This window comes from Homo sapiens, chromosome 3, assembly GCF_000001405.40.
Source record: "Homo sapiens chromosome 3, GRCh38.p14 Primary Assembly".
In the NCBI taxonomy this organism is placed as follows: Eukaryota; Metazoa; Chordata; class Mammalia; order Primates; family Hominidae; genus Homo; species Homo sapiens.
The window spans coordinates 10,108,942-10,135,089 of NC_000003.12; the positions used below are offsets into that span (position 1 = coordinate 10,108,942).

The following is a 26,148-nucleotide window of genomic DNA, read 5'->3' on the forward strand; positions in this document are numbered from 1 at the left end:
AGAATGATTTTGTCTCATTCTTATAATGCAGAAATACACTTTCGCCATATTAGTGAAGGAGTGATTTGACAACTTTGTAATCATCACTTAAAATAATGACCCTGGATGGCTGAGGGAAGGGAGGAGTCTACCCAGCTGATGTCTGTATTCCCAGTACCTGGCTATTGCCATGTCTGGCAGTGTGCAGTATTTGTGGGAGGAAGTAACTAATGGCCTACTTGGCCTTCCCTTGTACACCCAGAATTGCCCTTGCATTTTACAAACTATAGAACACACACCACAAATAAGACTTGTCACCTTTGTTCTGGTTTTTTGGGTAAAGCTGATGGAGAAAGACTGAGGGTCTGAGAATAGAGTCAGGCAAGATCCTGATTTAGAAGACACACACCCACTGTGTGTACATGTGCACCTTTTGGAAGAAGAGGTAAGTGGAGAAGAGTCTGGAGGGCATGTCGGGTCAGAACATGAAGAGAGAGGCACAGAATAGTGAGACTTGGAAGAGACACAAATGATTTTGAATTACAAAACTTTTTTCCCCAGTTAGTTCATTTTTATTTCCCTCTTTTTTTTTCTTTCTTTTTTTGAGACGGAGTCTCACCGTGTCACCCAGGCTGGAGTGCAGTGGCTTGATCTTGGGTCACTGCAACCTTCACCTCCTGGGTTCAAGCGATTCTCCTGTCTCAGCCTCCCGAGTAGCTGGGATTACAGGCGCGTGCCACCAGGCCCAGCTAATTTTTGTGTTTTTAGTAGAGACGGGGTTTCCCATGTTGGCCAGGCAGGTCTCGAACTCCTGACCTCGTGACCTGTGCACCTCGGCCTCCCAATGTGGTGGGATTACAGGCGTGAGCCACCACACTGGCTTTATTTCCCTCTTGAATAAAAAAGACTTTTTTTTTTGAGATGGAGTCTCACTCTGTCACCCAGACTGGAGTGCAGTGGCGTGATCTCCACTCATTGCAAGCTCTGCCTCCCGGGTTCACACCATTCTCCTGCCTCAGCCTCCTGAGTAGCTGGGACTACAGGCACCAGCCACCACGCCCGGCTAATTTTTTTGTATTTTTAGTAGAGACGGGGTTCACTATGTTGGCGAGGATGGTCTCGAACTCCTGACCTCGTGATCCGCCCGCCTCGGCCTCCCAAAGTGCTGGGATTACAGGCTTGAGCCACCGAGCCCGGCTGACATTTTTATTTTAAAAGAAAACAGTCGTTTTCATTTAGGTTTTAATTGCACAGTGGTTTTTGTTTTGTTTTGTTTTTTAAATGAAAGTCCTCAATGCAAAATTGTATGTTTAAAAATTATTGGATAGATAGAGCTTCATACTGTTATAAGAATTTGGGCTGGGTGCAGTGGCTCACGCCTGCAATCCTAACACTTTGGGAGGCCGAGGCGGGTGGATCACCTGAGGTCACAAGTTCAAGACCAGCCTGGCCAACGTGGTGAAATCCCATCTCTACTAAAAATACAAAAATTAGCCAGGCGTGATGGTGGGCGCCTGTAATCCCAGCTACTCGGGAGGCTGAGGCAGGAGAATCGCTTGAACCCGGGAGGCGGAGGTTGCAGTGAGCCGAGATCGTGCCATTGCACTCCAGCCTGGGCGACAGAGCGATACTTCGTCTGGGAAAAAAAAAAAAAAAAGAATTTGTACAATAGTCCCCTGTGCAGTCTGCCCAGCTCTAAAGGATGTGTTCTCAGAAGTGCCATTCACCATCACCTCCAAGTCTGATAGCATGCTCCATATGGAAAACCAGAATGTGATCTGTATCATCCAGTGCTCAACATTCTGGTTGCACTGTTCGTGGATTCTCATGACAATAGCCACATTTACTCTGCCAAAAGCTGATTCAATGCTTTCAAAGCAGGCAGCAACATTGCTATGGTGCACAAGCTGTATCTATCCTTAGATGTCTCAGCACATGTTACATTTATTGTGGCACAAACATGGTGTCACAAAGTGTTAGTAGGAATTTGAAATACTGACTTAACAGGGCCAGCTGTGCCAGTGATGGTCCAAGTGCATATGACTGCAAAAGAGGCTCAAATGAGCAGGCTTAATACAAGTGCTATATTTCTTCAAGCTTTGATTCCACGTTGATTCTTATACCTGAAGTCATCAATGAGATCCCCAAGTTCCATGAAGTGTATGACCAACTCAAAGTGAAGACAGGGGCTGGGCACGGTGGCTCATGCCTGTAATCCCAGCACTTTGGGAGCCTGAGGCAGGCGGATCAGTTGAGGTCAGGAATTTGAGACCAGTCTGGTCAACATGGCGAAACCCTGTCTCTACCAAAAAATACAAAAATTAGCCGGGCATGGTGACACATGCCTGTAATCCAAGCTATTCAAGAGGCTGAAGCAGGCAAATTGCTTGAACCCAGGAAGCAGAAGTTGCAGTGAGCCAAGATCGCGCCACTGCACTCCAGCCTGGGCAACAGAATGAGACTCTGTCTCAAAAAAAAAAAAAAAAAAAAGTAAAGACAGGGACCTGGTTTCCGTATGTTAACTGTAGCACTCCTTGTTGCATCAACAACATTTCCAAAGCTGGCCTCTGCAGCCCTGTGTCACTCATCAGAAACAATTCCTACAATGAAGAACTATCGGCCAGGCACGGTGGCTCACGCCTGTAATCCCAGCACTTTGGGAGGCAGAGGTGGGCGGATCACCTGAGGTCGGGAGTTCAAGACCAGCCTGACCCACATGGAGAAACCCCATCTCTACTAAAAATACAAAATTAGCCAGGCTTGGTGGCACATGCCTATAATCCCAGCTATTTGGGAAGGCTGAGGCAGGAGAATCGCTTGAACCTGGGAGGTGGAGGTTGCGGTGAGCCGAGATCATGCCATGCCATTGCACTCCAGCCTGGGCAACAAGAGCAAAACTCCGTCTCAAAAATAAAAAAAAAAAAAGAACTATCATGCTAGCAAACCCATAACTAGAGGACTGTCTGACAGCAAGCTCTGTAAAGCGTTTAGGAAAAGGCTCCTGAGGTCCAAAGGAACCATCTTCACTCAAGAACAGCATCATATCCTTGAGTCATCTAGAATTACAAGGGAGATTCTGGAACAGGTGTATAGAAAGTCAACCAAAAGGACAAGACTTGAGTCTGACCTGTCCATGGAAGATGTTCATTAAAAAAAAATTGTTGGATACAGTTTTCTGCCGTCTGCATAATAAGAAAATATAAACTGATCCTGAGTGCATGCTTTATGAAGAGCTAGACATTGTGCTTAGTGTTTTATTTATACTTTCTCACATAATCCTCCAACAATCCTAATTCATCAGTGTTGTTATCCTTGAATTATACATAAAGAAACCAAAGCTCAGAGAGGTGAAATGACTCCTGGATGGTAGATTTAAGATTTCAAACCATGGTGCAATACCTTTATTTTTTATTTTATTTTTTTGAGACAGAGTTTTACCGTTGTCACCCAGGCTGTAGTGCAATGGTGCGATCTCGGCTCACTGCACCCTCCGCCTCCCAGGTTCAAGCAATTCTCCTGCCTCAGCCTCCCTAGTAGCTGGGATTACAGGCGCCTGCCACTACCCTCAGCTAATTTTTTTTTTTTTTTTGTATTTTTAGTAGAGACAGGGTTTCACCAAGTTGGCCAGGCTGGTCTCAAACTCCTGACCTCAGATGATCCACCTGCCTCGGCCTCCCAAAGTGCTGGGATTACAGGGATTACAGCCACCATGCCCGGCTGATGCAATACCTTTAAAGGAAAAGCAGGTCTATCTGACTTTGTGATATCTAAGCAAAATGCCACTTCAACAGCATCACTTAGGATACAGGGCCTTGAGCAGCAGATAGCCTACTGCATGCTTAGGCTTCCCTAATTCTCTATATCTATTATTTATTTTAGAAATCATTTATATGTAGGCTGGGCGTGGTGGCTCATGCCTGTAATCCCAGCACTTTGGGAGGCCGACGAAGGTGGATCACCTGAGGTCGGGAGTTCAAGACTAGCCTGACCAACATGGAGAAACCCCATCTCTAATAAAAATACAAAAAAAAAATTAGCCAGGCGTGCTGGCACATGCCTGTAATCCCAGCTACTCGTGAGGCTGAGGCAGGAGAATCGCCTGAACCCGGGAGGCGGAGGTTGCGGTGAGCCAAGATGGCGCCATTGCACTCCAGCCTGGGCAACAAGAGCGAAACTCCGTCTGGAAAAAAAAAATCATTTACATGTATTCATAGGAGAGCTCAGACAGACTTTAACCTGTTTTCAGAGCGGTATAGTGAAGAGATAATGAAGTCTGGAATCAGCTGGTTAGGGTCTACCTTTTAATCGGCTTTGTTACCTTGAACATCAGATTTCTGATTTTTTATTTTCAAATGAGAAACTTCTTCCTGGCTTCCTTCCACAGGGTTTGTGAGGGTCCAGTAAGGTAATAGCTATAAAAGCATCTTTATAGGTTATAAAATTCTCTACTGGGGTAAATAACTGTTAGTAATGGTTTCTTCCCAGTTAATGCTAATACTGGTAGTAATCTGACTCTTCAGCCACTTTTTTTTTTTTTTTTTTTGAGACAGGGTCTCACTCTGTCACCCAGGCTTGAGTGCAAGAGTGCAATCACTGCTCACTACAGCCTTGACCTCCCTCGGCTCAGGTGATCCTCCCACTTCAGCCTCCCAAGTAGCTGGGATTACAGGCACATGCCACCATGCCTAATTTTTCTATTTTTTGCAGAGACAGGGTTTCACTGTGTTGGCCAGGCTGGTCTCGAACTCCTGGCCCCAAGCAATACGCCCGCCTTAGGCTCCCAAAGTGCTGGGATTAACAGATGTGAGCCACACACCCAGCCACTGAGCCACATTTTTTCTTTTTAATAAAAAGCATTTACTGGCCGGGCACAGTGGCTCACACCTGTAATCCCAACACTTTGGGAGGCTGAGGCAGGTAGATCATCTGAGGTCAGGAGTTTGAGACCAGCCTGACCAACATGGTGAAACCCCATCTCTGGTAAAAAAAAAAAAAAATTAGCTGTGTGTGGTGGTGTGCGCCTGTAGTCCCAGCTACCTGAGAAGCTGAGGCAGAATTGCTTGAACCCGGGAGGCAGAGGTTGCAGTGAGCCGAGATCGAGCCACTGCACTCCAGCCAGAGCAACAGAACAAGACTGTCTCAAAAAAAAGAGCATTTACTGCATGCCAGATTGTAAGTATTCCCTGAAATGAGAATAAAGTTGTTCATATTCCACTACCTTAGCAAAGCAGATAGTGACTTTTTTTGTAGATCCTTCTTGTCCTCAAACATACATTTTTCCATAGTTGCAATTAAAGAAAAATGTGGGCCAGGCAGGGTGGCTCATGTCTGTAATCCCAGCACTTTGGGAGGCCGAGGTGGGCAGATCACTTGAGGTCAGGAGTTGGAGACCAGCCTGACCAACATGCTGAAACCCCGTCTCTACTAAAAAATACAAAAAATAGCCAGGTGTGGTAGCGGGCACCTGTAATCCCAGCTACTTGGGAGGCTGAGGCAGGAGAATCACTTGAACCCGGGAGGCAGAGGTCACAGTGAGCCAAGATCGTGCCATTGCACTCCAGTCTGGGCATTAACAGAGAAACTCTGTCTTAAAAAAAAAAAGTAAGAAAAGGAAGGAAGGAAGGGAGGGAGGGAGGGTATTTTGTTTTTCCCCTCAATTTATTGTATGTGTTTTCATGTTGCTTGTGTTCATAATTAGCATTTAAATGACTGCATAATAGGCCGGGCATGGTGGCTCATGCGTATAATCCCAGCACTTTGGGAGGCCGAGGTGGGTAGATCACCTGTCAGTTCGAGACCAGCCTGGCCAACATGGTGAAACCCCGTGTCTACAAAAAATACACAAATTAGCCAGGCGTGGTGACGTGAGCCTGTAGTCCCAACTACACCAGAGGCTGAGGCTGGAGGATAGCTTGAGCCCAGGAGTTCAAGCCCAGGAGTTCGAGGCTGCAGTGAGCCATGATCATGCCATTGCATTCCAGCCTGGGCGACAGTAAGACCTTGTCTCAGGCTGGGCGAGGTGGCTCACACCTGTAATCCCAGCACTTTGGGAGGCCGAGGCGGGCGGATTGCCTGAAGTCAGGAGTTCGAGACCAGTCTGGCCAACATGGTGAAACACCATCTCAACTAAAAATACAAAAAAATTAGCCGGGCGTGGTGGTGTGCGCCTGTAATTCCAGCTACTCGGGAGGTTGAGGCAGGAGAATAGCTTGAACCTGGGAGGCGGAGGTTGCAGTGAGCCGAGATCACACCACTGCACTCCAGCCTGGGCGACAGAGCAAGACTCCGTCTCAAAAAAACAAAAAACAAGAAAAAACCTTGTCTCAAAAAACAACACAAAAACACAAATTTCCTTCTGAAAGGGACTGTTCCAGTTTGCAGTGTGCCCAGCTATTTATGACCATATTATTTTTTAGACTCCGTCTAAAAAAAAAAAAGACTTGTATTTAATGTGATTTAATCGACTGTGCCCATCTCACTGCGGACACTGAGTGCGCAACCTGAGCCTGGAGCAGTTGAGGGAGACGGCAAGACCCCACGCGCCGTGTAACGACCATAACGCGCGTGCACTACAACCTCGCCGCCGGCGTCCAGGCTTCTGTGTTCTATAGCGTGGGAGTAGAGAGCAAACGCCGGCGAGGACGTGACGTTGCACAGGCCTATCATAGTGCCCGAGAATTCGTGGGTGCTCAAGAGGATGGGTGTGGCCTGGCAGCGCAGGCGCACTAGAGGCCTGTAGGGTCGGGGCGCCTGCGCAGTCGCTCTTCCTCAGGCGGCGGCCATGGCGGGACAGGAGGATCCGGTGCAGCGGGAGATTCACCAGGACTGGGCTAACCGGGAGTACATTGAGATAATCACCAGCAGCATCAAGAAAATCGCAGACTTTCTCAACTCGTTCGGTCAGCGGGCCAGCAAGGGGAGGCGGGGAGGAGGGAGGCCGCTGAGGTGGTTGGGCTGGGGCGCCGGGGAGATGCTTTGAGAGGACTCCCGCAGCCTTCGGCTGTTGCGGGTTTTCACTTCCTCCTTCAGGTCCCACCTTCTCCCTCCCGCCCTGACCCTCAGGCTCCCGTAGACAGTCTCTGTAGGGTTATCCTGCCCTACGCTGAGCTCATGGCTTCCTGCCATCCCTCTGGATCCATTCTACAAGTCCTTCTCCTAGACGCGTCAGGCAGCCCCATCCTCGCTCCGTGGTTCTTCTCCTAAGTGGTCTCCCTGCCTCCTTTGTACTCTGCATCCATTCCGGTCCCCACTTTGCACTCAAAGTGAGCATCCGGGACCGTGTCACTCCTCTGTTTCAAGACTGTTGACCGTTCCCCATCTTCAGGATCTGGTCGATACCCTCTAGCGTCGTGCCTTTTAGTTGGACCCGTTGTCAACCACTCCCGTCTTGTCCATTCCTTCCTGTTTCCTGTGTCTGCTGCGGTGAGAGTGGTGGGAGATGAGGTCAGAGGGATGCCAGGATCTTGTAGGACCTTGGAAGTCCTCTCTGTATTGCTAGTATATATAGCTTATGGTAGGTGTTCTGTCTGCTTCTAGCCCATTCCTCAGAGCTAACACAGGTCGGGTGCCTTCAGCAGAAAGATATCTTTACCAGAATCTTTCCTAGGCATGGCCTGCTTGTGACAGCCTTAAATTCTTCCTTATGAACAGCAAGCAAAGCAATCGAGATTCCTACCCCTTCTTCTCCAAGTGTTTAACAGAACTTGGCACTGGTTAGACTTTCTTGTGTAATTACAGGATATAGGGACTAGTGTACTTTGGAAAGATTTTTAAATGAATGATTCTCTAACTAAAGGACTGATGGCCTTAGGAGTACAAAGGTGACAGAGCAAGAGATTGTCAGAAAGCATCAGCGAGAGATGCTAGAGCTCCATATGAGGCCCTCTCTTAAGGCATAGTGGGAGACACAGAATAAGAACCACTTCCTACATTCAAAGAAGTTCTAATCTTGAAGATGAAATAATGACAACTTCAGGACAAAGAAGAGCATCATTTTTGTATTAAAGTATTTTCATACAGGGTGTTTAGGACTATAATCGTGGCTGAGTTCAATGGCTTATGTCTGTAATCCCAGCACTTTGGGAGGCCAAGGTGGGAGGATTGCTTGAGCCCAGGAGTTCAAGACCAGCCTGAGCAACATGACCAGATCCTATCTCTACAAAACAACGACAACAAAAAAATTAGTTGGGCATGGTCATGCACACCTGTTGTCCCAGCTACTCGGGAGGCTGAGACAGGAGGATCACTTGAGCCCTGAAGGCAGTGAGCCATGTTCATGCCACTGCACTCCAGCCTAGGCGACTGACTGAAAATTGAAAAGCCTAAGCTTAGGATTTGCAAAGGAGAAATGTCCCTTTTCTTGCTTTATAGGCAAGGAGATATCAGCTTGGATATTTTTATGTCTAATTTGTAAGAGTCACATTTTATGATCAGATAGAGAGTAAAGACTTTATTTGGGCTTTTCAACAAATTCTTTTTTTTTTTTTTTTTTTTGAGACAGGGTCTCACTCTAGCCCAGGCTGGAGTGCAGTGGCGTGATCTCAGCTCACTGCAACCTCTTCCTCCTGGATTCAAATGATTCTCATGCCCCCGCCTCCTGAGTAGCTAGGATTACAGGTGTGCACCACCACACCTGGCTGATTTTTGTGCTTTTAAAAATAGAGGCAGGTTTTGGCCATCTTGCCCAGGCTGGTCTCAAACTCCTGAGCTCAAGTGATCCACCCGCTTCGGCCTCCCAAAGTGCTGGGATTACAGGCCTGAGCCACTGTGCCCTGCCCCCAAAAATTCTAAACTAAGGAATTAGACATACAGAAGTCCAGTCTTTTGGAGCCAAAAGAAATGACTTCCCTTAGCTTAGATCATTATCCTCCCTTAAAGTGATGATAATGGCCAAATGTTTGGAGTAATTACTAGGTGGTTTTTAAAGATTTTAGAAAGTGAATTTAGAGAAAATAACAATTAAATACAACTAAGTAAGAAGAGAATTATAATGCAGGATTAACAGTCAAAGGAATTTGACTTAGCAGTTAGGTGTACCTGAGGCAAGTTCTTAAAGATTGGCATGGTGGCTCATGCCTGTAATCCCAGCACTTGGGGAGGCTGAGGCGAGCAGATCACCTGAGGTCGAGTTTGAGATCAGCCTGGCTAACATGGTGAAACCCTGTCTCTACTAAAAATACAAAATTAGCTGGGCATGGTGTTGCACACCTGTAATCCCAGCTACTCAGGAGGCTGAGGCAGGAGAATTGCTTGAACCGGGGAGGCAGAGGTTGCAGTGAGCAGGGATCGTGCCACTGCACTGCAGCTTGGGCAAAAGACGAGACTCTGTCTCCAAAAAAAAAAAAAAAAAAGATTGACACTATCACAATGCAAGAGTTTAGAAAAAGACCCCACCGGCTGCGAAACTGGATAAATTAAATTATAAGGATAGACTTGAGTATGTTGTCTTGGTATTGAATGAGTCAGGATGACTATGTATGGGATGTTTTTTTCCCATCCTAAGCCATTAGTAGGCTTGTACAATTGTCCCTTGAACAATACATGTTTGAAGTGCATGGATCCATTTACAGGTAGATTTTTTTTTTTGAGACAGATTTTCATTCTGTCACCTAGGCTGAAGTGCAGTGGCATGATCTCGGCTCACTGCAACCTCCATCTCCCAGGTTCAAGTGATTTTCTTGGCTTAGCTTCCTGAGTAGCTGGGACTACAGGTGTGTGCCACCATGCCCGGCTAATATTTGTATTTTTAGTAGAGACAGGATTCGCCATGTTGGCCATGCTGCTCTTGAACTCCTGGCCTCAAGTGATCCACCTCTGTTCAACCTCCCAAAGTGCTGGGATTACAGGCATGAGCCACTGTGCCTGGCCATAAGTGGATTTATTGCGATAAAAGTTATACAGTATGCCTACCTCTCCTGCCTCCCCTTCCACCTCTGCCACCCATGAGGTAGCAAAACCAACCTCTCTTCTTCCCCTTCTTCCTCAGCCTACTCAGCAGGAAGACAATGAGGATGAAGACCTTTATGATGATCCACTGCCATTTAATGAATAGTAAATATATTTCCTTTTCCTAATGGTTTTTTTTGTTTGTTTGTTTTGTTTGTTTTTTTGAGACGGAGTCTTGTTCTGTTGCCTGGAGTGCAGTGGTGCGATCTCGGCTCACTGCAAGCTCTGCACTCGCGCCACTGCACTCCTGCCTGGGCGAAAGAGCAAGACTCCATCTCAAAAAAAAAAAAAAAAAAGAATTTACTTTGAGGCCAGGCACAGTGGCTCATGCCTATAATCCCAGCACTTTGGGAGGCCGAGGCAGGTGAATCACTTGAGCTCAGGAGTTTGAGACCAGCCTGGCCAATATGGCGAAACCCCATCTCTATAAAAAATACAAAAATTAGCCAGGCATGGTGTCTCATGCCTGTAATTCCAAGCTACCTGGGAGGCTGAGGCATGAGAATCACTTGAACCCTGGAGGCAAAGGTTGCAGTGAGCCAAGATCGTGCCACTGTACTCCAGCCTGGGTGACAGAGTGAGACTCTCTCTCAAAGAAAAAGAATTTACTTTGAGGGAGCATCTGAAGTTCTTCAAATATGTTAGCAATTCTGTAGTCCTTACCCTGACCACAGAGAATCTGCATGGGCCATGTATTTTGGAGAGAGAACTGTTGTTCTAAGATAGTGAATGACTTTCTGAAAAGCATTTACCTTGTGATTCCTGCTGGTGAGAGTAGAGTCACAGTCTCCCACGTGAACTTGAGGACATACAAATCGTAATGTAGCAAAAATATCATAACACTAGGCCTATTTTGCACTTTGGAATTGGTGAAGTTTCTAAAAATAGATGGTTAGAGATTATCGCTTTTTATTCTTATGCTATTTTTTTCTGGTTCTAAAGGTAATATATGCAGAGAAGTATAAAGACAAAATAGAGAATGTGGCTGTTTTTTTAAAATCTTGGTTTTTGTACTGAGCCAACAAATGTAGCATGCCTGGTGTGTGTCAGATGCTGTGAGAAAGGAATAAATATGAATAAATGGGTATGATACCCACTCCTAAGACATTCAGAATTTTGCTGGAAAAGTAAGACTTAACTACAAAAACATTCCAAAAGAAAGACAGTTTTTGTTTTTTTTTTGAGACAGAGTCTCATTCTGTCGCCCAGGCTGGAGTGCAGTGGTGCAATCTCGGCTCACTGCAACCTCCGCCTCCCGGGTTCAAGCGATTCTTCTGCCTCAGCCTCCTGAGTAGCTGGGACTACAGGCATGCGCCACCACGCCTGGCTAATTCTTTTTTTTTTTTTAAGATGGAGTCTTGCTGTGTTGCCCAGGCTTGAGTACAGTGGTGCAATCTTGACTCACTGCAACCTCTGCCTCTTGGGTTCAACTGATTCTCCTGCCTCAGCCTCCCAAATAGCTGGGATTACAGGCACACACAACCATGCCCAGCTACTTTTTGTATTAGTAGTAGAGATGGGGTTTTGCCATGTTAGCCAGGCTGGTCTCAAACTCCTGACCTCAAGTGATCTGCCCACCTCAGCCTCCCAAAGTGCTGGGATTACAGGTGTGAACCACCGTGCCCGGCCTGACAGTATTGATTTTTGTAATGCTGAAGTTATATGCATTAAGTTCAGAGAAGGAGCTGTCTGATAACAGCATTTGTTTCCTAACGAGAACTGGTATTTTCAGTTAAAGGCTGGTGATAATGTACACATACTTGTGCTCTGGTTTCAGATTTATCCAGCTGCTGAATGCTTTCTCAGTGTTTTTTATTTGAACCAGCGTATACTTATTAGGATTTGAAATATGACCAAGGTTTCTGCAGTTGAACATTTTCTATTTCTCAACAGTGTTTATCCATGTAGGCCAGGAGCATAGTATTGTTCTTGAATTCTAATTCATTACCAGATTGACAGCTAGAACAGAATAGCCACCCAGGAAGGAAACTTCCCTCTCTCCTACCTCCCCCAATAATTTTCGTATGTCTTCATGGGAAATGGCAGGTTGTCAGAGATAATATTCATGCTCTTACTCAGTAGCATACATAACGTGCTTTCAGACTTCCAAAAACCAGACTGAAAAGAGGCTTGGTCCTGTTGGGCAGTTCCGACAGAAAGTGGCAGTACATCCAGGAAAAGGGGGATGCTGAAGTGATCATACTTAAGCTAGACCTGGGAATTCAAGCAGCACAAGCGTAAAAAGAATGAAGAATGTCCAGAAATGGCAAATCCATAGAGACAAAGATTAGTGGTTCCCAGGGACTGAGGGGTGACAGAATGGGGAGTGACAGGACTAAGAGGTATAAGGTATCTTTTGGGGATGATGAAAATATTCTAAAAGTAGATTATAATTATTGCACAACTCTGTAAGTATACTAAAAACCACTGAATTGTATACTTTAAGCAGGTGAAAGAATGGAAAGTGGCAGAGTTGGGCTGGAGACCTGGGGTATAAATTATAGCCCCGGAGGCACAGAAAGATGATAGTAGTGTGCATTGGGATGCACACAGTATGGGAAAGAATACCAGTGACCCAACATGGGCCCTCAGCTTACCTAGACCTCAGTTTTCCCACTTGTAAGGTGAATAGAGTTACACTAGAGTCAATCTTTTGTTCCACTAATATACCAGAATCCATCTTTTTTTTTTCAGTCAACATCTATGTACCAGGCAAGATGCTAAGGTTACAAGAGGCAATATGTACTTCTTTTGATTAACTTGTTCTAACGGTGAAACAGACATGTAAATAAATTGTAAATTACAAGTACATAAATATCATTTGGTTTCGTAACATGAATATTTTCCTATTTCATTAAATATTCCTCAAACTTTTTTTTTTTTTAAGACAGAGTTTCACTCTTGTTGTCCAGGCTGGAGTGCAATGGTGCAATCTCGGCTCACTGCCTCAGGTGATCCACCCACCTCGGCTTCCCAAAGTGCTGGGATTACAGGCGTGAGCCTCTGCACCCGGCCACTTTTTTTTTTTTTTTTTTTTTTTTTGAGATGGAGTCTCGCTCTGTTGCCCAGGCTGGAGTGCAGTGGTGCAGTCTTGACTCTCTGCAACCTCCGCCTCCTGGGTTTAAACCATTCTCCTGCCTCAGCCTCCAGAGTAGCTGGGATTACAGGTGTGCGCCACCATGCTTAGCTAATTTTGTATTTTTAGTAGAGACAGGATTTCTTTTTTTTTTGTATTTTTAGTAGGTATGGGGTTTCTCCATGTTGGTCAGGTTTGTCTTGAACTCCGACCTCAGGTGATCCGCCCGCCTCGGCCTCCCAAAGTGCTGGAATTACAGGCATGAGCCACCGCGCCTGGCCACTTGTAACTTTCAATGGCTATTTTAATAGTCTCATTAATACGCTATATCAAACCATTCCAATCATGGGCATTTGGTTTTGTTGCTTTTTCACCATCTTAAATAGTAGTGATGCACATTCTTATTTGTAAAATCTTTATCCAAAGAGGGAAGTCATAACCAAAGACCAAGTACATGAATAACTTACAAATTAGAAATTCAGAGGCTGGCACGGTGCCTCACGCCTGTAATCCTAGGACTTTGAGAGGCCAAGGCAGGTGGATTGCTTGAGTTCAGGAGTTTGAGATCAGCCTGGGCAACAAAGTGAGACCCCCATATCTACCAAAACAAAAAACAAAAAAATTAGCCAGGCACAGTGGCATCCACCTACTGAGTAGTAATTGCAGCTACTCGGGAGGCTGAGGTGGAAGGATCACTTGAACCTAGGAGTTGGAGGGTGCAGTAAGCTATGATTGCAACACTGAACTCTAGCCTGGGTGACAGAGCAAGACCATGTCTCTTTTAAAAAAAAAAATTCATCCGTAAATGTTTAGATAAATACAGAAGAGGAAGAATTATTATGTCCATCTGGCAAGACCTCTCAGAGATAGAATTTGAACTTAGCCTTGAAGGAGATAGGCAGGCAAGATGAGTAAGATTTGGACATAATAAGATGAAAGTTGAGGCAAGATCAGGGTGTAGGAAGATTTGTCAAAATGGATGCTGAAGCGCTTTTGCAAAACAGCCAGGGAATAGATGAAAAGGAAACTTGTTAGCTAAGTGTTAAATCATTGCGTGGGAGAGTCTCAGCGAATATTTCAGACTTGAAAACTGAAGTTTATTGAGAGATGACTGAACAACAATGTTGGAGGAGAGAGTAGAAGATAATGACCATGCTAAGATACCTTTTCTCTCATATGTTGAGAATAGTTGGAAAAAGAATAGTTCCTGTTACAGAAGTTTGCAGAGAAAAAGTTGTTTTAAATTAAATCTGGTTTCATTTTGAATGAGATGGTAAAAGAAGATTGGAAAAGCTAGAGGAAGAAGAATAATTTTGGCTGTTTTCACAGATGGAATGTGGGCTTTATCGGGTATTTGATGCTCTCCAACTTTTCTCTAGTTCTGAAAGGCCTTTGCCTCTAGGAGCAACAGTAGTGACATGGCTTTAATGAGCTCAGAACTCTCACACCTTCCCTCCCCATAATTTCTGCTGCTTTCTTGGCCTCTACTTTCTTTCCTTTTTTTTTTTTTTTGAGACGGAGTCTCACTCTGTTTCCCAGGCTGGAGTGCAGTGGTGCAATCTCGGCTCACTGCTACCTCCATCTCCCGGGTTCAAGCAGTTCTCTGCCTCAGCCTCCCGAATAGCTGGAATTACAGGCGCCCGCCACCACACCCGGCTAATTTTTTGTATTTTTAATAGAGACGGGGTTTCATTGTGTTAGCCAGGATGGTCTCCATCTCCTGACCTCGTGATCCACTGCCTTGGCCTCACAAAGTGCTGGGATTACAGGCCTGAGCCACCGTGCCTGGCCTTTTTTTTTTTTTTTTTTTTTGAGATGGAGTCTCACTCTGTCACCCAGGCTGCAGTGCAGTGGTGCAATCCCAGCTCACTGCAACCTCCGCCTCCCAGGTTCAAGTGATTCTCCTGCCTCAGCCTCCCGAGTAGCTGGGACTAGAGGCACCCGCCACCACACCCAGCTAATTTTGTATTTTTAGTAGAGATGGGGTTTCACCATGTTAGCCAGGCTGGTCTCAAACTTCTGACCTCAGTTGATCTGCCCACCTTGGCTTCCCAAAGTGCTGGGATTACAGGCGTGAGCCATCACGCCCAGCCTCGTTTCTTTCCTGTTGAGATTATTTTCTTATTCTTGCCATGTCCCCTCTCTTGAAAGTCTTAGTTAGGCCATTAGTAAATGGCTGTACAGCCTTGGTGTATTCATTTGCTATTCCTGGCATAACATATTACCACACAGGCTGGGCACAGTGGCTCACACTTGTAATCTCAGCACTTTGGGAGGCCAAGGCGGGCGGATCACGAGGACAAGAGATTGAGACAATCCTGGCCAACATGGTGAAACCCCGTCTCTACTAAAAATACAAAAAAAAAAAATTAGCTGGGCATGGTGGCGCACACCTGTAGTCCCAGCTACCTAGGAGGCTGAGGCAGGAGAATCGCTTGAACCCGGGAGGCAGAGGTGGCAGTGAGCCAAGATTGCGTCACTGCACTCCAGCCTGGAAACAGAGTGAGACTCCATCTCAAAAAAAAAAACCAAAAAAACAAATTACCACACATTTTGTGGCTTAAACCACATACATTTATTATTTACCATGTGTAGGTCATAAATCAAACACTGGTCACTGGGCTAGCAATCTTCACACCTTGGCCAGCAGTCTTCACACCTTGGCCTTCTGAAGTATTAGGATTACAGGCATGAGTCACTGCTCCTGGCCTGGGCTCCAATCAGGGTTTCAGCAGGACTGCCTTCCTTTCTGGAGGCTCTAGGAGAGGGTCTAGTTCCTCGAATATTGGGTTGTTGGCAGAATTCAGTTTCTCGTGGTTGTAGGACTGAGATCTCTGTTTTGTTGCTGGCTGTGAGCTGAGAGTTGTTCCCAGCTTCTAAAGGTCACTTACATCCCTTGGTTCATGGCTCCCTTCTTCCACTTTCAAAGCCAACAATGGCAGATTGCATCCCCTTCACACTTGGAATCTCTTTTTCTTCTTCCATTTCATCTCTGACCCCCTTCCTATGCCTTTCTCACCTACATTTGTGGACTATGATTAGATTGGGCCCAAATGGACAATCCAAGACAAACTCTAGGATCTCAAGGTTCTTAACCTTAATCATACCTGCAAAGCCCTGTTTCCTCATGTATAATCCATATTCACAGGATCCAGGGATTAGAGAAAGGACTTTTTTTTGAGACAGAGTTTTGCTGTTTGACCCAGGCTGGAGTGAAGTGGCGAGATCTTGGCTCACTGCAACCTTTGCCCCCCCCGGTTCAAGTGATTTTCCTGCCTCAGCCTCTTAAGTAGCTGGGATTACAGGCATGTGCCATCATGCCTGGCTAATTTTTGTATTTTTAGTAAGAGACAGGGTTTCATGATGTTGGCCAGGCTGGTCCCGAACTCTTGACCTCAGGTGATCCACCCGCCTAGTCCTCCCAAAGTGCTAGGATTACAGGCATGAGCCACCGTGCCCTGCAGGAAAGGACGTTTTTGTGGGGCCGTTATTCTCTACTTGCAACACTTGATAGGAAGTTCAGCAGATCCACTCTAAGCAACTGTGCTATGAGTGGATCTTAGCACTGTATCCATTTCCATTTGTATTCTGTGTATTATTCCTCTTTTTCATTGTAGGTGTTGTGTGTGTCTGTGTCTGTGTTTGGAGTGACATTAATCCTGAACACCAGTCTCTTTTTCTCAGATATGTCTTGTCGTTCAAGACTTGCAACACTAAACGAGAAATTGACAGCCCTTGAACGGAGAATAGAGTACATTGAAGCTCGGGTGAGTTTGATGGGCAAGGGCATTCCAGAGAGAATGCACATTTCCACTTATTGCTGAAAAAAACCTGAAAGCAGAAACAGTCTTAGGAAACTTAAGCACTGGCCGGACATGGTGGCTCACGCCTGTAATCCCAGCACTTTGGGAGGCCAAGACAGGTGGATCACTTGAGGTCAGGAGTTCGAGTCCAGCCTGGCCAACATGGTGAAACCCCATCTCTACTAAAAATACAAAAATTAGCCAGGCATGGTGGCTCACACCTGTTGTCCCAGCTACTCGGGAGGCTGAGGCAGGAGAATTACTTGAACCTGGGAGGTGGAGGTTGCAGTGAGCCGAGATCACACCACTGCACTCCAGCCTGGGTGGCAGAGTGAGACTCCATCTCAAAAAAACAAAAGAAGAGAAAAGTTAAGCATGTTGCCTGGATTTGAACCATGTTTCTGTGACTTCACAGCTATCTTCTTTTCTGCTATTTCTCACTGCCTAGGATCTAAAGATTTTTTTTTAGACCCCTCTAATCTTTTTTAATTTATCTAAATGTCAGTTTTCCTTTCCTTTCACAGGTGACAAAAGGTGAGACACTCACCTAGAACAGTGCCGTGCTGCTGCTGGGAAGTTGCTTTACACAACACAGGCCACATGGGAAAGGCCCCAGCAGCCTTCAGCTCCTTCCTTTCTCCTTAAAGAGCAACAGGGCTTATTCTTGTTTTTCTTTTTTCAAAAGTGTGGCCTTTGGGCTCTGCCATCTGGGGTGTGGTGTGGTATGTGGGAAGAAGTTCAGAGGAACCGTTGGAAACGACGTTAGGCATTTTACCTTTTCAGTAACATTTTATACATCTACTTGTCAATGTATTTGAGACATTCACAGCCAAAAGCCTGGGACTCTTTGTGAAGGTCCTCCTCACCTCTATCTTTCTTTCTCTCTCTCTCAAACTTTCCTTAAAGTTCTCATTGCCTTTGCACTGCTTCTGTGAACAGTCTTTGTCTCCTCCCCACCTTTGGTGGGAAGTGCGGGGCAGTCCTGGTCAAGACACTCATGCCCTGGCAATGTGGCTGCCAGAGAATGTTGTTGCTAACCCACCAGTTTCTTGTTGATTTGGAGAGGTCAAGGCCAGGCCCCCACTTGGCTTGAAGGGACATTTTCAGACTTTTCTTTCTGTCACTTGGAGTGTCTATGCCTCTCATATTTCCCTAATAAACTCCTCAACTTTTTATCTGACTGCTGTGATTATGGTGGGGAGAGGAGCTAGAGATGGGTTCACTTATTGCACAGAAATGTAATACATGGCGTTATTATTCTAACATAAAACTTTCAGATGTAGCTGTTTGATTCAAAGCCTAGGTGGCTTACCAGCCCAAGTCCCCATGTTTGGACTTTCAGCTGACTAGCTCATCTTGGGAATCATTTGGTCATTCAGCACATTTACCAAGTATTTACTATGTAGGCATGTTAAACTCCAATAAAACATACAGCATTGAATCAGACATGATGCTTACAGTCTTTTGAAATACCAGCATTCACACAATTTAGCCACAATCCAAGGAAGATTATTAGTTTTATAAGGCACAAGCTAAGTGTCTACTCTTTGAAAAGCAGATAGCCGGGTTCAGTGGCTCAGGCCTGTAATCCCAGCACTTTGGGAGGCTGAGGCGGGTGGATCACAAGGTCAGGAGATCGAGACCATCCTGGCTAACACGGTGAAACCCCAGCTCTACTAAAAAAAGATACAAAAAAAATTAGCTGGGAGTGGTGGTGGGCACCTGTAGTCCCAGCTACTCGGGAGGCTGAGGCAGGAGAATGGCCTGAACCCGGGAGGCGGAGCTTGCAGTGAGCTGAGATCGCGCCACTGCACTCCAGCCTGGGCGACAGAGTGAGACTCCATCTCAAAAAAAAAAAAAAGTCTACCTCAAGCCAAATTTCCCCCTGAAAGTTCTCCTGGACTTGACTTTTTCATTTAGTATTGCCCTTTTCCTCTTCTCAGTTCCTCCCAATCCTACCATGCTGACACTGTGCTTCAGCTCTGGATTTGATCTTGATATGGATTTATCTCTGATTTAGCATGTGCATCCTAGAATAGAAACGAACATCTTTGGCCAGGTGCAGTGGCTCATGCCTGTAATCCCATCACTTTGGCTGGGTGGATCACTTGAGGTCAGGAGTTCAAGACCAGCCTGGCCAACATGGCGAAACCCGGTCTCTACTAAAAATACAAAAATTAGCTGGGTATGGTCGCAGGCACCTGTAATCCCAGCCACTCAGGAGGCTGAGGTAAGAGAATTGCTTGAACCTGCAGAGATTGCAGTGAGCCGAGATCACGCCACCGCACTCCAGCCTGCTGGGCGACAAAGCGAGACTGTCTCAAAAAAAAAGAAGTAGTTCTAAAGTTCAAGTTTTAGGTTATCTGGTGCCGTCAGTTTAAAAGACACATGGATTTAATAGCAGACAGGTGCTTAAAAAAAAAGCATTGAGTTCCTGCTATATGCAAGGACCAGCATGATATAGTAATAGTGGCAAAAGTGATGGTATACTAGGCAGAAAAAGCTCTTCTTTTTATGACATTACATGTGAAAATGCTCAGTACGTTTTTTATTGGCTTCTAGATATTAATTGGCTGGGCACAGTGGCTCATGCCTGTAATCCCAGCATTTTGGGAGGCTGAGGCAGGTGGATCACTTGAGGTCAGGAGTTTGATACCAGCCTGACCAACATGGTGAAAACCCATCTCTACTAAAAATACAAGAAAAATTAGCCAGGCATGGTGGTGCCTGCCTGTAATCCCAGCTGCTTAAGGGGCTGAGGTAGGAGAATCACTTGAACACAGGAGGCAGAGTTTGCAGTGAGCCAAGATCGCACCACTGCACTCCAGACTGGGCAACAAGAGCAAAACTCCATCTCAAAAAAAAAAAAATCTTAATTTATTGTTATTAAAATAATATGCTCTAAACGAGTTAGTGCCCTTAATAGTACCATACTGCTAGGTGTGGTGGTGTGCGCCTGTAATCCCAGTTACTCAGGAGGCTGAGGTGGGAGGACAGCTTGAGCCTAGGAGGTCAGCACAAGCCTCAGCAACATAATGAGACCCGTCTTTATTTTTTTTTTTTAATTTTTCTATTTTTTTAGTTAGCTTTTTTTTTTTTTTTTTTGAGACAGAGCCTTGCTCTGCTGCCAGGCTGGAGTGCTGTGGCACAATTGCGGCTCACTGCAACCTCCGCCTCCCGGGTTCAAGTGATTCTCCTGCCTCAGCCTTCCAAGTAGCTGGGACTACAGGCACACGCCGCCACGCCCGGCCAATTTTTTGTATTTTTAGTAGAGACGGGGTTTCACTGTATTAGCCAGGATGGTCTTGATCTCCTGACCTCGTGATCTGCCTGCCTCAGCCTCCCAAAGTGCTGGGATTACAGGTGTAAGCCACCGCGCCCGGCAGCTCTTTTTTTCTTTTTATGTCCAGCCAACTCATCATAATTTTTTTAATTATAATTTTTTTAATCTACCTTTTTTTTTGAGACAGAGTTCGAGACCAACCTGGGCAATGTGGCAAGACCCCTATCTCCACTAAAAATACAAAAATTAACTGGGCATGGTGGCATGCACCTGTAGTCCCAGCTACTCAGGATGCTGAAGTAGGATTGCTCAAGCAATTCGCCTAGGAGGTGGAAGCTGCAGTGAGCTGGGATTGCACCACTGCACTCCATCCCGGGCAACAGAGTGCGACCTTGTCTTAAAAAAAAAAAATCTTGAGTGGAAAATGAGCTAAATTTTAAATTTTCCTCTAAGCCATTCATAGGCACCTTCAAGGGAACCTCTTCATGCCTGTATACTTTGAAATGTTTTTTACCCTATAATTTGGTTTAATTCACTTATTTACTGAAAAGCTGAAAAGTAAGAGGTTTGAACCCATGAGCTATTAGGCATAGATTGCAAGTCCCTTGATAATAAAGCAGTTTTCAGTCTGTCTTTAAAAATTAAGCTTGGGCCGGGCGCTGTGGCTCACGCCTGTAATCCCAGCACTTTGGGAGGCCAAGGCGGGCGGATCACGAGGTCAAGAGATCGAGACCATCCTGGCCAACATGGTTAAAGTGGATTTCAGAAGCAGGAAAAAATAGGGAGCTTATTGTCTGGCTGATCGTTACAGAAGTACCCAGTTCTGTCATTCCACTCTTGCTACTCAGACCTTTAACTACCCATGTTTATTTCACCAAGCTAAAGAAGTATACTACAGGTTGATGATCCCCACTCCGAAAATCTGAAATGCTTCAAAATCTAAAACTTTTTGAGCACTGACATGGCACTCAAAGGAAATGCTCATTGGAGCATTTTGTATTTCGGATTAGGGATGCTCAATGAGTACGTATATAAGGTTGTTCCAAAAGTATTTCAGATTTCCAAATGCTGAAAAAATCCCAAATCCAAAACACCTCTGGTCCCAAGCATTTCAGATAATACTCAGCCCGTACTATAAGCCACACTAAGTAGAGTACAGGCCAGGCGTGGTGACTCACACCTATAGTCCTAGCACTTTGGGAGGCTGAGGCAGGAGAATTGCTTGAGCCCAGGAATTTGAGACCAGCCTGGGCAACATAGTGCGACCCCCCTCTATAAAAGCAGTTTTTAAATTAGGAGGGTGTGGTGGCACAAGCCTATAGTCCCAGCTACTGGGAAGGCTGAAGTAGGAGGATCGCTTGAGCCCAGAAGGTCGAGGCTGCAGTGAGCTATGATCATGCCACTGCATTCCAGCCTTGGTGACAGAGTGAGACACCATCTCAAAAACATGGTGTGGGGGCTGGGTGCTGAGGCTTATGCCTCCCAGCACTTTGGGAGGCCGTGGCGGATGGATCACTTGAGGCCAGAAGTTCAACACCAGCCTGGCCAACAGCAAAACCCTGTCTCTACAATAAAAAGAAAAATAGAAAAAATAAACAAATAAACATGGTGGTGGGGACAGGAAGCCTGTTGTTCATCTCTAGGCTCTTTCCCAGTATTTATACTCAGATTCATGCTGTTGCCTGCAAAAAAGGTTGGCCCCCAGTTGCCTCTGGATAATATGATTTAGAAAATTTGCTCTGGCAGTTTGCAGACAATTGCTGCCGTAAATAATTGTTCAAAACTTCATGGCTGGGTGCAGTGGCTCACACCTGTAATCCCAGCATTTTGGGAGGCCAAGGTGGGCAGATCGCTTGAGGTCAGGAGTTCGAGACCAGCCTGGTCAATATGGTGAAACCCCATCTCTACTAAAAATGAAAAAAAAAAAAAAATTAGCCAGGCTTGATGATGTGTGCCTGTAATCCCAGCTACTCGGGAGGCTGAGGCATAAGAATCGCTCGAACCTTGGAGGTGGAATTTGCAGCAAGTTGAGGTCATGCCACTGCACTCCAGCCTGGGCAAGAGAGCTGGATTCTGTCTCAAAACAATAATAACAGCAACAACAACAACTAACATCTAAAGGCCATATGACTGTCAACTAGATTATACAATAAGAAAGGCTGATTTAGAGTTCTCAGGTTTTGTTGTTGTTGTTGTTTGTTTTTTGTGTTTTTTTTTTTGAGACAGGGTCTTTCTTTGTTACCCAGGCTGGAGTGCAGTGGCGCAATCTTGGTTCACTGCAACCTCTGTCTCCCAGGTTCAAGCGATTCTCATGCCTCAGCCTCCTGAAGAGCTGAGATTACAGGTATGCACCACCAGGCCCAGCTAATTTTTGTATTTTTAGTAGAGACAGGGTTTCACCAGGTTGGCCAGGCTGGGGTTTCTTTATTTAATTTTTCTTTATTTATTTGTTTTTTTTGTTTTTAGAGACAGGGTCTCACTATGCTGCTTAGGCTGGTCTCAAACTCCTGGGCTCAAGCAATCTTCCCGCCTTGGCCTCCCAAAGTGTTGGGCTTACAGGCATGAGCCACTGTGCCCGGCTGGTTTATTTTCTAATGAAAAGTTACCCTGGAGGATCACTGGAGGCCAGGAGTTTAAGACCAGCCTGGGCACCATAGTGAGACACCGTATCTGCTAAAAAAAAAAAAAAAAAAAAAAAAAAAAAAAGTAAAGTCACCCTGTGCACTAAATTGGCAAAAGATTAGGACTAGCAAGAATTAAAACTCACAGAACATTAGGGTGAGAAAGAATCTTAGAGATAATCTAGTCTGCCCCTGCCATTCTAGGAATATAGAAGCAAACCCAGACAGGTTGAGTGACAGACATGTCCATCCTGGTGGCAAAGCCAAAACTAAAACCTTATTCCCAGGTCAGTGCAGAGCCACTCAGAGTCTCATAAATAAGTTTTGTGTTTTCTGTACCATACCGGCCCTCTATTAGCCTCTCCCTGGATCTCACTGATACCTTGAGAGTGCAAAAAAGCAATTGTTCGTTACATTTATCTAAGTGGTGGTATCCATTGGCATCAACATTTGCATTTAGGACAAAGTTATCTTTGGCTCCTTTGAGCTTGCTACGACTATCAAGCGTGAAGTTTGTATTGTGCCTCAGCTGCATTTTCCAACCATAACAGTTTTTAAAAAAATAATTTTATTGGATAGGTGTGGTGGCTTATGCGTGTAATCCCATTACTCTGGGAGGCTGAGATGGGAAGATTGCTTGAGCCCAGGAGTTTTGAGGACAAACTGGGCAACCCAGAGAGACCGCCACCACAAAAAATAAACACAATTAGGCGGGTGTGGTGGTGCATGCCTGTAGTCCCAGTTACTCATGGGGCTGAGGTGGGAGGATCACCTAGGCCCAGGAGGTCATGGCTGTAGTGAGCCAAGATCACACCACTGAACTTCAGCCTGGGTGACAGAGCAAGACCCTGTCTCAATAAATGAATAAATGAAATGAAATGTTTCAATTCAATAAATGATAAATGCTTCAGTGTGGCTTTCACAAACATTTTGCCTAAGAAGTTGTTTATTAGCATTAAATACATTGTATGTCTATTATGTGTGAGGCACTGGAGATAAAATGAGAAACAGACAGTTTCTACTCTTAAGGAGCTTATAGTATAGTCATTTATTCACTGTATGTTCTCAAAGCAAAAGACACTAGAATGACATTTGCAGAAAAACCTCAGGAAAACACAACATACACAAAGGAGCAATGTGGTATCAACTTCACTGCATGATAAAGATACCATAGGCCAAAATTGTATTGTACATGGAAATGATGTTTGGGTTTTTGTTGCTGTTGTTATTTTTGTTTGTTTACCATTGTAAAAGTAATATATCACCACATATACATTATGGACATACACATGCATTTGAAAAGCATTAACAATTGGCCTGAATAAATATATAAAGAACTATTAAAACTCAGCAGTAAGAAAACAGCTAAATAAATGGACGAAATATTTGAACTGACACCTTGAAGACAAAAAACAGGCTGAGCCCGGTGGCTCACACCTGTAATCCAAGCACTTTGGGAAGCCAAGGCGGGTGGATCACCTGAGTTCAGAAGTTCGACATCAGCCTGGCCAACATGGCTAAACTCCGTCTCTACTAAAAATATAAAACTAGGCCAGTTGTGGTGGTGCACATCTATAGTCCCAGCTACTCAGGAGGCTGAGGCAGGAAAATCACTTGAACCTGGGAGGCGGAGGTTGCGCCACTACTCTCCAGCCTGGGCGACAGAGTGAGAGTCTGTCTCAAAAAAAAAAAAAAAAAAAAAAAAAAAAACAAGAATGGCAAACAAAATACAACAGAGTTTTTCATAGTTCATAAGCATGATGAGTGGGTTTTCATGTTCATGTGTGAGGTGTGCCTCCCTCAAACCTTGTTATGATGTCAACACATTGCCCATCTGATGTGAGAAGAAGTAAAAAAACAGTGAAAAGGCAGTTTACAGAATGGGAGAAAACATTTGCAAATCATACATCCAATAAGGAGTTAATATTCAAAATATATAAGGACCTCAATAGCAAGGAAACGATTTTAAAATGGGCAAAGGACCTAAGTAGACATTTCTCAACAGAAGACATTAAATGGCCAAAAGATAAGTGTTGGTGAGGACGTGGAGAAAACAGAACCCTCCCAGGTTCTTGGTGGGAATGTATATTAGTACAGCCATTATGGCAAACAGTTTGGAGGTTCCTGGAAAAACTAAAAATGGAATTACCATGTGATCCAACAATCTCACTTCTGGGTATATATACATAGGAAATGAAAATCAGTATTTTGAAGAGATATCTGCACTCCCATGTTCATTGCAGCACTATTCACAATAGCCACACTATGGAATCAAGTGTCCATTGCCAGACGAATGGATAAAGAAAATGTGCGCTGGGTGCGGTGGCTCATGCCTGTAATCCCAGCACATTGGGAGGCCAAGACGGGCAGATCACTTGAGATCAGGAATTTGAGACCAGCCTGGCCAACATGGCAAAACCCCATCTCTACTAAAAATACAAAATTAGCCGGGCGCAGTGGTGGGCGCCTGTAATCCCAGTTACTCTGGAGGCTGAGGCAGGAGAATCGCCTAAACCCGGGAGGCGGAGGTTGTGGTGAGCCGAGATCGCACCATTGCACTCCAGCCTGGGCAACAAGAGCGAAACTCCGTCTCAATCAATTAATCGATCAATAAAATACGTTGAACTCACAAAAGCAGGCAGTACAATGGTGGTTGCCAGGGCCAGGGGAGTTGAGATGAAACAGGGAGATATTGGTCAAAGGGTACGAGTCACCCTTTTGGTTGGGAGGAATATATTCTGGACATCTGTTATACAGCATGATGACTATAGTTAATAAATAATGTATATTTGAAAATTGTTAAGAGTGTAGTTTTTTTTTTTTTTCTAAGACGGGGTCTTGCTCTGTCACCCAGGCTGGAGTGCAGTGGTGCGATCTCGACTCACTGCAACCTCTGCCTCCTGGGTGACAGAGCAGGAGCACTGTCATCTTGGACAAACACCACCACTTTAAGTTCCAGCTCCCTTTCTAGCCTCATACATTTCAAGGAAATCACTTCTCTTCTAACCACAAGCAGCCAGAAAGAGCAGACAGTAAAACACAGATAAGACAGCTTGGGCACAGAGGGAAGTAGGGGGAAAGTCTACTTTCCCCCTACTTGGGTAACTGGGTAACTGCCAAACTTCACCCTCATACAATGTGCCCCAGTAAAACAGTGGGCCTTAATAGGCACATTTCTTTCCCTCAGGTGCACTAAGATAGGGAAGCTAAAAGCAGACTCAGGGGACATGCCTGCAGCTGCAGAAAGATGTACGGGAACAGACAACTCTCCCGCCCAGGTAAGCACAACGAAGAGACACAGAAGCAGTCGAAGCCTCTGATAAACTCTCCCACCCTGAATCCTTAAAAACTCTGTAAGATTGTGCAGCTTCTGACCTAACTTGGTCAGAAATCCCTCCCAGGTTTGAAATAAACCTGTTGACTGTCAACCCACCCTTCATG

At 45.2% G+C, this 26,148-nt stretch overlaps 1 protein-coding gene and 1 non-coding gene across 2 annotated transcripts, besides 13 other annotated features; both read left to right on the plus strand.

Moving 5' to 3' along the window:
- Positions 6,542-6,831: an enhancer, noted in NCBI's record as "active region_19416". NCBI's record gives its function as "activates an Ori minimal core promoter by ATAC-STARR-seq in GM12878 lymphoblastoid cells {active_cell/tissue: GM12878}" and the evidence as "EXISTENCE:reporter gene assay evidence [ECO:0000049][PMID:35858748]".
- On the plus strand, positions 6,734-18,249 carry BRK1 (BRICK1 subunit of SCAR/WAVE actin nucleating complex). The gene is made up of 3 exons (NM_018462.5): positions 6,734-6,878; positions 16,685-16,767; positions 17,328-18,249. The coding sequence occupies exons 1-3, from the start codon at positions 6,761-6,763 to the stop codon at positions 17,352-17,354; spliced, it is 228 nt and encodes a 75-aa protein (NP_060932.2). The 5' UTR covers positions 6,734-6,760; the 3' UTR covers positions 17,355-18,249.
- Positions 7,282-7,331: an enhancer, noted in NCBI's record as "active region_19417". NCBI's record gives its function as "activates an Ori minimal core promoter by ATAC-STARR-seq in GM12878 lymphoblastoid cells {active_cell/tissue: GM12878}" and the evidence as "EXISTENCE:reporter gene assay evidence [ECO:0000049][PMID:35858748]".
- Positions 11,091-11,255: a mobile genetic element, noted in NCBI's record as "direction; reverse".
- Positions 11,091-26,148: part of a biological region, named in NCBI's record as "3p25 BRK1 Alu-mediated recombination region", that runs on past the window's edge. NCBI's record gives its function as "recombination_partner: LOC107303340 | LOC107303341 | LOC107303342".
- Positions 11,192-11,196: a non allelic homologous recombination region, noted in NCBI's record as "AluSx3 recombination sub-region, recombines with the AluSg recombination sub-region within the 3p25 IRAK2 Alu-mediated recombination region". NCBI's record gives the evidence for it as "EXISTENCE:nucleotide sequencing assay evidence [ECO:0000219][PMID:19280651]".
- Positions 18,365-18,664: a mobile genetic element, noted in NCBI's record as "direction; forward".
- Positions 18,463-18,471: a non allelic homologous recombination region, noted in NCBI's record as "AluYm1 recombination sub-region, recombines with the AluY recombination sub-region d within the 3p25 IRAK2 Alu-mediated recombination region". NCBI's record gives the evidence for it as "EXISTENCE:nucleotide sequencing assay evidence [ECO:0000219][PMID:19280651]".
- Positions 21,876-22,173: a mobile genetic element, noted in NCBI's record as "direction; forward".
- Positions 22,086-22,091: a non allelic homologous recombination region, noted in NCBI's record as "AluSz recombination sub-region, recombines with the AluSx recombination sub-region b within the 3p25 VHL Alu-mediated recombination region". NCBI's record gives the evidence for it as "EXISTENCE:nucleotide sequencing assay evidence [ECO:0000219][PMID:19280651]".
- Positions 22,506-22,666: a mobile genetic element, noted in NCBI's record as "direction; reverse".
- Positions 22,646-22,648: a non allelic homologous recombination region, noted in NCBI's record as "FLAM_C recombination sub-region, recombines with the MLT1H recombination sub-region within the 3p25 VHL Alu-mediated recombination region". NCBI's record gives the evidence for it as "EXISTENCE:nucleotide sequencing assay evidence [ECO:0000219][PMID:19280651]".
- Positions 24,444-24,547, plus strand: LOC124906357 (small nucleolar RNA U13). Its single transcript, XR_007096325.1, has one exon. It is a non-coding gene; the product is annotated as a small nucleolar RNA U13 (small nucleolar RNA).
- Positions 25,020-25,302: a mobile genetic element, noted in NCBI's record as "direction; forward".
- Positions 25,039-25,239: a non allelic homologous recombination region, noted in NCBI's record as "AluSq2 recombination sub-region, recombines with the AluSx3 recombination sub-region within the 3p25 VHL Alu-mediated recombination region and the AluYm1 recombination sub-region within the 3p25 IRAK2 Alu-mediated recombination region". NCBI's record gives the evidence for it as "EXISTENCE:nucleotide sequencing assay evidence [ECO:0000219][PMID:19280651]".